The sequence below is a fragment of the Homo sapiens genome, chromosome 16 (genome assembly GCF_000001405.40).
Source record: "Homo sapiens chromosome 16, GRCh38.p14 Primary Assembly".
In the NCBI taxonomy this organism is placed as follows: domain Eukaryota; kingdom Metazoa; phylum Chordata; class Mammalia; order Primates; family Hominidae; genus Homo; species Homo sapiens.
This window is the reverse complement of record NC_000016.10, coordinates 23,216,884-23,228,340: the sequence shown is the minus strand read 5'-3', so window position 1 is coordinate 23,228,340 and position 11,457 is coordinate 23,216,884. Positions and strand designations below refer to the sequence as shown.

General features: G+C 46.4%; 1 annotated feature.

The window, feature by feature from the left end:
- Positions 4,599 to 4,893: a silencer, noted in NCBI's record as "tiled region #8546; K562 Repressive non-DNase unmatched - State 21:Repr". NCBI's record gives its function as "represses a minimal TATA promoter and a strong SV40 promoter by Sharpr-MPRA in K562 cells {active_cell/tissue: K562}" and the evidence as "EXISTENCE:reporter gene assay evidence [ECO:0000049][PMID:27701403]".

Here is an 11,457-nt window from a genome sequence, read left to right as displayed (position 1 = left end):
GATTCCGATTGGGTCAAGAAAGAGGGTAGAGAACAAAAGTAGGAAAAGTGGAGGGGGCCGGGCGCAGTGGCTCACGCCTGTAATCCCAACACTTTGGGAGGCCGAAGCGGGTGGATCACTTGAGGTCAGGAGTTCGAGACCAACCTGACCAACATGGTGAACCCCGTCTCTACTAAAAATACAAAAAAATTAGTCGGGCATGGTAGAGGGAGCCTGTAATCCCAGCTACTCGGGAGACTGAGGCAGGAAAATCCCTTGGGCCCCGGAGGTGGAGGTTGTGGTGAACCGAGATCTTGCCACTGCACTCCAGCCTGTGCCACAGGGCGAACTCCCTCTCAAAAAGAAAAAAAAAAAAAGTGGAGGGATGGGAGGTATTTCAAATCAAAGGTGTAGCTTTGGGAATGTGTGGCTACCAAAGACTGAAGAGGAAAGTTACTGGAGTTGAGAAACTCAAAGAATTGTTAGGTCTCCTGATTGAGTGGTCCATTCAGAATTCAAGTACAATTTGCTCAAGATGAGGACTTGGGCTTCTTTGCTCGGCCACTGCTCTTCGGGGAATCCACATGGTGTGGGTGGCACGCACCTTTATCCAGGATGGGCACATGACTCAAACATGGCCAATGAGAGTGTCATCCTCTGACTGCTGTGATTGGTTGAAAGCTGGGCATGTGACCCAAACAGGACCAATCAGAATCCCTTGCTGGGTTTGATATATGAATGCAGGCTGAAGGAGGATCTCGTTTTCTTAGATATGAATGAGCTGGAAAAGCAGTAGAGGCTTAGAAGGGTGAGTGGTTGTCAGGGGTGAGTGATTGTCAGAGGCCATCTTTGCACCCTGTGGAGAGAAGTGATCTCAGAAGAAAGTTAAGGAGATCAGGGGAATGGAGGAGGGCGATGGATGGGACCCTGATGACTGAACATTGCGTCCATCTGCCCTTAAACCTGGATGCATCTAGATGGTTAAGTGAGTCACAATAACCCCCTCCCCCACTCTTTACCAAAACCAGTGTGAGCTGGGGTGTCTGCCACACCTGAAAAAGCACAAATAAGGCTCGGTGCCGTGGCTCAGGTCCGTAATCCCAGAGCTTTGGGAGGCCAAGGCGGTAGGATCACTTGAGGCCAGTAGTTCAAGACCAGCCTGGCAACACAGTGAGAACTCATTTTTACAAAAAATTAAAAAAAATTTTTTTTTCTTTTAATTAGCCTGGCATGCTGGTCCATGCCTGTAGTCCCAGCTACTCAGAAGGCTGAGGCAGGAGAATCGCTTGAGCCCAAGGAGTTGGGGCTTCACTGAGCTATGATGGTGCCACTGCACTCCAACCTGGGTCACAGAGGAAGACTCCATCTCAAAAAAAAAAAAAAAAAAAAAAAAAAGCCTAAATGTAAGGAGCAAACAGGGCAGCAGGGGCTGAAGTCTTCGGGGGATGTAAACGGTCCTGGATGATGCTGGGTGGTGTTGGCAAGGGTGAAAGAAGTGGTATGTTGGTGCTGGGGGCTTCAAAGGAGGAAGGCTGTAAATAGTGCAGTGGAAGTGGCAGAGACAGCCTGGGAAAATGTCAAGGTCACCTTGAGGAAGCCTATGGACAAGGTAGCAGACTGCAGCCTCCACACAAAGCCTGACATTGAGGCAGGACCATCAGGACCAGAGATCTGTACACGAACTGAACCTGGCCCTTATTCGGGTTTAACCCTGATCCTGACCACAGATTGACCCCTGATCCTGACTGCACTGGGCTCTCCTCTGGCCATTGGCTCACCCTCGACTCAGGCCCCATGCCAAGCTCTGATCCTGTCCTTTTTCTCTCCCTCCTTTCATACTCAGTGTAAAGACCCTGGTGCATGCTGGCTGGCCCATGGCCATCATAATCTCTCCTTATTTCATGAGCTGTATCCATCCCTCGCCAAGGCCAAGAACATTATTCTAAGATCTCAAGCCATGGCCCAGAAAGCCATATCCAGTTTTCCACTTAAAGAAGGAGCTAGTGACCTCCTAAATCCTCGTCTCTTTTTCAACATCTCTGCACCAAGGGAGGATGTGATGAGGACACTCCCTTGACTCCCAAGATATTCTGTAAGGCCATCAATTTCCATAAACTGTCCATTGAGGGTGGGCTGGCATTTGCCTGCCCTACTCCCCAGATCTGCATGAATGTGGGGGCTCCTTAGATGTCCAGTTTGGTTGTTTTTCAGGTGCCCAGCCTTAAGCCCGAAAGTTTAAGTCAATAATAGCAGACCCCAGAAAACTCCCTTGAGGATCTTCAGGAGTTACAAAGCCTGAGTTGCATTTATTACTATTATTTTAAAGTTCAAGATATAGCAGCTTTAAAAACCAGAAGATCCCAGAGGACATTTCCCTGTGGTCCTAAAAGTTCTTTACAGCATCTGCCTCTAGGGCAGCAGAGGAAAAAAATTGTAGTTGGCAGTGCTTACCCAACCTTAGCCCATTCAGCTGCCTGTAGGCAGGCTTACTAATGTCTGATGCATGGTAAATACCTAATGTTATAAAAACAACAACAAAAGCCCAACACTAAAATATTCTGCTGAGGATCTTTCATGAGTCAGGCCCTCTGCCAAGTGCTCAGAATCAACCTTATCTCATTTTATCCTCAAAATAAGCTTAGGCAGTAAAAACTGTTATTACCCACCCCTGCCTCCACCTGCTTTTATGGATGAGAAAACTGGGGCAGAGACTGGTTAAGAAACTGGCCCAGAGTCATACAGCTAATAAGTGTTGGAACTTGGATTTGAACAAGGTAGTCTGACTTCAGGGCTTAAAAAATAATTATGGATCGCTTCTTGGCCTTTTGGCTAAGATCAAATGTAAAAAATAATTACAGGATACATGTGTAGTAGAATGGATGGATGGATATGTGAATGGATGGATGGATGAATGGATGGATGGATACGTGAATGGATGAGTGAGTGGATGAATGAATGGATGGATGAGTGGATGGTTGGATATGTGAATGAATGGATGGATGAGTGGATGGATGGACAGACACGTGAATGGATGAGTGAGTAGATGAATGGATGGATGGATGGATATGTGAATGGATGGATGGAGGAATGGATGCACTGTTATGTGAATGGATGGATGGATGAGTGGATAGATGAACAGATATGTGAAAGGATGAGTGAGTGGACGGACGGATGGATGGATGGATATGTGAGTGGAAGAGTGAGTGGATGAATGGATGAATGGATGGAAATGTGAATGGAAGGAAAATGGATGAACAAGTTAATGTCAGATGATTCAGAGGCTGGAGGTATTCAGGGGGCAGAAGTGTGTTCTGAGGCTGGCAGGGATCTGGGGACTGACTGGCTGCAGAAGATTGGCAGGCAACCACAGATAGCCAGCCTCCCTGTCTTGCCAAAACTCCCTTTGCTTTTCTTCTTTTTCTCAAGTTTGTACTTGAATCTCTTTCACGTTGCTGGGTTAGAAAATCCTCTGAGCTGGCTTGAGATACCCCATGTAAGAAAAGAGAGCCCAGATGGTATCTCCTGGAAGCCTGTCACTGCTGGAGTAATGGCTGGTCTTTATTTTCTTCTTTGTGCTTTTCTGAAATGCCCAGTTTTCTATAGTGTGGAATGGGGTATCTATTGTTGTGCTAAACCCTGGTGGCTCTTGGGCAATCATTCCTTACCCTCCTCTTTTAATGTGACTTTTAGGGGGAGGGCTGCTCTCCCAATTCAGAAGTACACACAAAATCCAGGCCTGGCAACCCACAATGTTTTCATTCCTTTGGCCACAGTGATTGGTTCAAGAAAAGCCCCATGACCTAAGTATGTCCAGTGCAAGCCCATTCAATAATTTGGGGTTTTGAGATAGTTGTAAGACAGAAGTTCTCTTTCTTTGGGTGAGGGGAGTGCTAAGAGACAGTACACATATCTAGGGTTTCTAGCACCCATCTTGACACTGTATGGCAAGTATGTCTGAGAATGGAGCTAACATAAGGGAAGACAAATGAGAGAGAGAACTTAGAGTTCAGATCTCATCTTCTGAATTCCTGGATCCAGCCATACCTGAAGCAGAGACCCATGGACTTTTCAATTATGTGAGCCTATATGTATTTACTTTTTCTTAATGCAATGTAATTTAGGCTTTTACCACTCACAGACAAGATTCCAAACACAATGCTTACTACTTTTCTACAACTACAAATAAAAATGTATTTTTAATAATGTTATTACCAGTCATGGAGGCTCATGCTTGTAATCCCAGCACTTTGGGAGGCTGAGGTAGATGGAGCCCAGGAGTTCGAGACCAGCCTGGACAACATGGTAAGACTCATCTCTGCAAAAAATACAAAAATTAGCCAGGTGTGGCTACTGACTATATGCTTGCCTGTAGTCCCAGCTACTTGAGAGGCTGAGGTGGAAGGATTGAGCCTGGGAGGTTGGGGCTACAGTGAACTATGATGGTGACATTGCACTCCAGCCTGGGTGACAGAGTGAGACCCTGTCTCAAATAATAATAACAATAATACTGTTGTTAAAAAAGAACAAAAGACAACTGTCAGATCCCTGAGTACATGCAATCATTTAACAAAGAGAGCTGTTGAACAACAGAGTTTGTCAGACAAACACCTGCCCATCTGGCCAGAGGTATGAGCAGATGAGGCTGGGAAGATTCCCCTGGGAATGTTCCTGGAGGAGGGCGAAGGAGCGTTTTAACAATCAGTTCTGTTTCACCTCCTCCTGCTGCTCCTTCCAGCTTGCAGCTGGGCACAATGGGGCACCTTCAGTCTGCAGCCCGCAATTAGAGCACATGTCTCGGGAATCCTGCTGATCCAGACCCCTTCTCCACCCTGGGCCTGTCCTGCCTTGGGAGTGAAGGAGCTAGAACTGTTCCTCCGTTTCCTAGGAGGTAGCGGTGGCTGCGTGAGCCAGAGGTAGGCCTGGAGGGGACATTCCCAGGGCAGCCACCCTGGGGAATGCCAGGCCGATCATTTCTTGGGGATGCCTCTATGGAGGAGGGGACAGAGCCAGAAAGATATTTGCACCTTGGGGACATTTCTTTGAATGCTAGGTTGCTTTTAGGATGTGTTGTGAACATCCATGCAACACCTGTGTTAACACCCACTCATCATTTTCTTTCTTTTCTAAGATTTTTTTCTAGGACAAGGTTTTGCTTTGTCACCCAAGCTGGAGTGCAGTGGCATGAGCATACTCACTGTAGCCATTGGGAGGCAGAGATGGGAGAATCACCTGAGTCTGGGAAGTCAAGGCTGCAGTGAGCTGTGATCATGCCATTGTACTCACTCTACCCTGGAGTGAAACAAACAAACAAAAAAAGCAAAGCAAACAAGTGGGTTTCTACTGCCACTTCAGGTGAGAAATAGCTCCTTGCTACCAAGTTTTCCAAATGCCCTGTGTACCTCTAGTCACTTCTACTTTCTTCTCCACTACCCCAGCCCCAGGCCAGAAGTTTCTGCTCTTCTAACTTGCTCAGTTAGAACTATGCTCTTCTAACTGTGCTCAGTGCATCTTGCTTTTCTTTATAATTTCACTTATTATTTTTCATTAGGTCAACTCGCTCTCTTTTCATTTAAATAAATTTAGTTTTTGGATTTTGTATTTTTTTAATCACATAACTCTTTTTTTTTTTTAGATGGAGTTTCACTCTTGCTACCCAGGGTGGAGTTCAGTGGCATGATCTCAGCTCATTGCAACCTCCGCCTCCTGGGTTCAAGCCATTTTTCTGCCTCAGTCTCCTGAGTAGCTGAAATTACAGGCATCTACCACCATGCCTGGCTAATTTTTTGTATTTTTAGTAGAGATGGGGTTTCACCTTGTTGACCAGGCTGGTCTCGAACTCCTGACGCCAGGTGATCCACCCTCCTCAGCCTCCCAAAGTGCTGGGATTACAGAGGTGAGCCACCGCGCCCAGCCACGTAACTGTTTTAAAGTGCACAGTTCAGCAGCATTTATTATGTCCTCCATGCCATGTAACCACCACCTCTATCTAGTTCCAAAGCTTTTTCCTTATCCCCAGAGGAGACTCTATATCCATTAAGCAATCACTCTCCATTTCTCCTCCCTGCAATCTGCTTTCTGTCTGTGAATTTATCCATTCTGAGTATTTCGTATAAATGGAATGGGACCATATATGACCTTTTGAGTCTGCTGGCTTTGTTCACTTAGCGTGATGTTTTCAGGGTTCATTCATATGTCAGTAGTTCATTCTTTTTAAACTTTTTGTTTTATTTTTATGGATTTAGGGATACAAATGCAGTTGTGTTACACGGATATATTGCATTAGTAGTGAAGTCTGGGCTTTTAGTGTAGCTGTCACCTGAACACTGTACATTGTCTCCAATAGGTAGTGTTTCATTCCTCCCACCTTCCTACCTCTTGGAGTTCATTTCTTTTTAATGGGTGAATAATATTCTGCTGGGAATATACTTATTTTATTTATTTATTTATTTTTGAGACAGAGTCTTGCTCTGTTGCCCAGGCTGGAGTGCAGTGGTGCGATCTTGGCTCACTACCTCTGCCTCCTGGGTTCAAGCAGTTCTCCTGTCTAGCATCCCAAGTAGCTGGGATTACAGGTGCACGCCACCACACCTGGTTAATTTTTGTATTTTTAGTATAGACAGAGTTTCACCATGTTGGCCAGGCTGGTCTCGAACTCCTGACCTCAAGCGATCCACCTACCTTGGCCTCCCAAAGTGCTAGGAATACAGGCATGAGCCACTGTGCCCCGCCAAGTTAAGGATCTTTAGATGTGGAAAATATCTTGAATTATCTGGGTGTACCCTAAATGTAATCACAAGTGTTTTTATTAAAAGGAGGCGGAAGGAGATTTGGCAACAACAGAAGTCAATGTGATGACTGAAGTAAGAGGCTTCTCTGCTGGCTTTGAAGATGGAGGAAGGGGCCAGGAACCAAGGGATGCAGTTCTAGAAGTTCGAAAAGGCAAAAAACCAGATTTTCCCCTAGAGCCTCTGGAGGGAGCACAGCCCTGCTGATAGCTTGATTTTAGCTCCATAAGATTCATTTCAGAGCTCTGGCCTCCAGAACTGTAAGAGAATAGATTTCTGTGGTTTTAAGCTACTATGTTTGTGGTAGTTTGTTACAGCATCCACAGGAAATGAATACAGTGCTCAATAAACGTTTGTTGCATGAATAAGTGATTGTTAAACTAGTGACTAAAGGAGATGCGTTCTTCTATAGTACATGATCTTGCACTTTTTTTTTTTTTGGCAAATCTCGGTCAATCAATTGACTTTTTTTTCTATTGATTACATTAAGCATTGGTTACATTAAGCAGAAGACCACTGAGAAAACAAAGGCAGTGAAGAATTGATGCTGCTAAGTTCAAATTAGATAGCAAGAGAGCTAGAGAGCTACAGGCTCTGAGGCAGCTCTCTCTTTGTTAGAAAAGAGAGACGAACAGTGTTAGAAAGTATTGAAGACATGTGAACATCGAACCGAGATTTTGTTTTTTGCTTTTTGGGGATTTATTTTTGAGATGGGGTCTTGCTCTGTTGCCCAGGCTGGAGTGCAGTGGTTCAATCACAGCTCACTGTGACCTTGACCTCCCTGGCTCAAGCCATCCTCCCACCTCAGCCTCCTGAGTAGCTGGGACTACAGGCACACACCACCACACTCAGCTAATTTTTGTATATTTTTTTGTAGAGACAGGGTTTCCCTGTGTTGTGGCTGGTCTTGAACTCCTAGGCTCAAGCAATCCTCCTGCCTTGGCCTCCCAAAGTGCTGGGATTCAGGCATGAGCCACCACACTGGCTGAACTTTGCTTTTGCACATTGGAAAATGGACTAGCTTTCTTATTCTGTTTGTCAATGATATTTGATGCTCCAACTTGCAAGGGAAGACCATATAGAGAGAGTGACATTTGCATCTGATCTTGAAGGAATGCGTGAATGAGTGGAGGGTGAGTGGAGGAAGAGAGAGGGAACCATTCAGAGTTGCAGATAAGTCTGTGTGCTGCCTAAAATTATCACCGTAGGGTGAGTCCTGCAACTTGAGAAACATGGCCAAGGTGTGATGGGGCAGATGGGGCAGATGGGGCACTGCCAAGAAGTGTCTAAGCAGGAGGTGCTGTGGTCCAGTCTGCACTTCGGAGACATTCTCTTGGCATAGCCTGGAGTAGGGAAGGAGGAAGGAGAGCTGGAAGAAGGGAGATTCATGAAGAGGAGGGGAGCTTCCTGTCACTTCACCTTTTGTCCTTATTAAGTCTCTTTCTTAAACGTCAGTGTTTCGGAGTCTCCATCTTTGACTCTTTTCTCTTCTTTATTATTTTTTTTTGAGATGAAGATCTTGCTCTGTTGCCCAGGCTGGAGTACAGACAGACTCACAGGTCACTGCAGCCCCTAACTCCTGGGCTCAGGCAGTCTTCCTGCCTTGGCCTCCCAAAGTGCTGAGATTACAGGTGCGAGCCACTGCACCGAACCCTTTTCTCCTCTTCTGATCTGCTTCTCCTCCATGGTGACCTAATCCACACCCCTGGCTTTGTCCTGCCTGGATGATGCCCATGTCTCCATCTAGCCCAGACCTCTCTCCTGAGTTTTTAACCCCAGAAGAGACTAGCATGTTTATCTAATATCTTCCCTTGTGCAGGATCACAGGACATAGGCTGAGTCTGCAGTGCCTCTGTTCATCAGGGAGGTGGTCCATGGGTGGCAGGACACTAGGGTCTGGGATTCAGTGACTCAGAGGACTAGTGAGGGTGGTGGCTCCATTTGAGAAGACCAGGGGTACATTAAGAACAGGCATTCTTGTGACTTACAAATGGAGTCGGTGTCCCTTGGAATCAGTAGCTCCTAGCTATGGCAGTTGCTTATGAAAGGGGTCTGGGAATGAAGTTGTTCTACTCTGTCCTCACCTTTGTCCTGGGAAAAGAAGGCCCCTCAGCTGAGTAGGCCGGATCTGAAGCTAAAGAGGGCTGGAGAAAACTTCAGGGGCAGACACACTTAGCCTCTAGGGAAAAGCTTCTATCTGAAAGGCAGTTTGCACAGTGCTTAAGTGCATTGGCTCTGCCTGCTAGCCTGGGCACAGCAGTTACTAGCAGTGTGGCCGTGAGAACTCTTTGTGACTCCATTTCTTTTCTTTTCTCTTAATTATTTTATTTTATTTTATTTTGAGATAGGATCTCTCTCTGTTCCCCGGGCTGCAGTGCAGTGGCACAATCTCAGCTCATTGCAGCCTCAACCTCCTGGGCTCAAGACATCCTCCTGCCTCAGTGTCCTGAGTAGCTGCTGGGACTACAGGCGTGCGCCACCATCATGCCCAGATACCTTTTCATATTTTTTGTAGAGATGGGGTTTTGCCATGTTGCCCAGGCTGGTCTCAAATTCCTGAGCTCAATCAATCTGCCCGCTCTGGCCTCCCAAAGTGCTGGGATTACAGGCGTAAGCCACCACATCCGGCCTCCATTTCTTTCTTTATGAGTTCCTGAGCTGTTAGAATTACACAAGCTGATGTGTGTGAAGTGCTTAGCAGAATCCCTGGCAAACCATAAGAGCTCAATGCATATTAGCCATTGTTAGTATTGTCACTGTTTTTATAAGCGCCACAAACTTTTCCTAAATGCCAACACTGTACTCTGTCCCGTCCCCATCTAGGGACAAGGAGATAAGACACAATTCCTGCCCTTGCAGAGCTCATAGTCTAATGATAGAGGCAGATGTGGATAAAAAATTGTATACAGGGCCAGGCACCATGGCTCATCCTGTAATCTCAGTACTTTGGGAGGCTGAGGCGGGAGAATAGCTTGAGTCCAGGAGTTTGAGACTAGCCTGGGCAACATAACAGGAACCCATCTCTACAAAAAATAATAATAAAAAATTAGCCAGACATAATTGTGTGCTTCTATAGTTACAGCTACCTGGGAAGCTGAGGCAGGAGGATTGCTTTAGCCCAGGAGGTTGAGGCTGCAGTGAGCTATGATTGTTTGAAGTCCAGGAGTTCAAGACCAGCCTGGACAACATAGTGAGATCTTGTCTCTATAAAAAATTTAAATATGAGCCATGGGTAGTGACAAGCACCTGTAATCCCAGCTACTCAGGAGGCTGAGGCAGGAGGATCACTTGAGCCCAGGAGGTCAAGGCTGCAGTCAGCTATGATCATGCCACTGCGCTCCAGCCTGGGCAACAGAGGCAAGACCCTGCCTGTTTCATATATATATATACGTATATATATATATAATATATAAATACGTATATATATATAATATATAATATATATAATATATAATATATATAAAATATAATATAATATATTTTATATATATTATATATATATATGGGTGAAAGTTGTGTAATGGTGGAAGCTCCAACTTCTTGGGGCAAGGGAAGAGGGTCAGGGAAAACTTTACAGAGGTGCTGACATTTGCAGCTGGCCTGGAAGGGTGAAGTGGAGAAGGAGGGAAGACGATGCTGGGCACTGCAAGAGCCAAACAAGAATGGAGACAGCTGGAGTTTGCTGGGTGTGCACGCCCGTGTGCTTGGGGGGAGTTGAGCGGCTGTTGGCTTTGGATTCTCATGGCCTTGCCTTTGACAAGCCTACTAGAAGTGTTCCTCCATCAGGCAGAGGCTGGCCAATTCCACGAATCTGAGGGCACCTCCTGTCCCCACCATTGGGGAGGAGGAGGAAGCTCCTGTCTGTGCTGTGCTCAGGTAGACATCAGCTGCAAGTTCCCTGTCGGCACCGGCTACAGCCGCCAGAGCCCAGCATGGACGAAAGCCAGGCTCACGGCCTCTGTAGCCCAATCCTCACCTGCATGGGCCTGGCTCCTGAGCCCACTTCACAGGGGAGCTCCCTCCAGTCTGGGGTCTCTATGACCTCCTCCTTGCTGGCTGGCATGCCTCCTGGCAATGCCCTGCCCTATAAGGTCTGGTGGAAACACCAGATAGAGCAGAGGCTTACTCTAGCCACAGGCCTGGGGTTGAGTTGGACCAGGGATGCCCAGGTCCAGACAGGGTCCCTACAGCCCCTCTCTTTTACCAAGACTCTTGCCCTTACTAGCAGCCATTCTCATGAAGGGATTAGTCCTGAAATGTGGACCTTCCCCACCCATGGATGAAGGACTTCCTTTAGCCCTAGAGCCAGGGTATTTAGCCTCTCCCTCTTCCTACCCAAAATGACATCGGACTCACTCTTAAAAGGTACAGACCAGAATGGCTGCAAAATAATGGAGTGATAAAAGGCACCAGCTCTGGTGTCAGACTGTCTGGGGTCAAATCCTAGCTCTGCAACCTCTTAGCTGTGTCACCTTGGGCAAGTAACTTAATCTTTTATGCCTCAGTCTCTTCATCCACAAAATGGGATAATCATACCCATTGAATGTGCTCATCCAAGGGTCAGCACAGTTTTCCGTAAAGGGACAGAGGGAAAATATTTTAGGGTTTGCTGGCTTTGCAGGTCTGGGTTGTAGCTACTCAACTCTGCCACTGTAGTGCATGAATGGCCATAAACAAAACTTGAACAAATGGA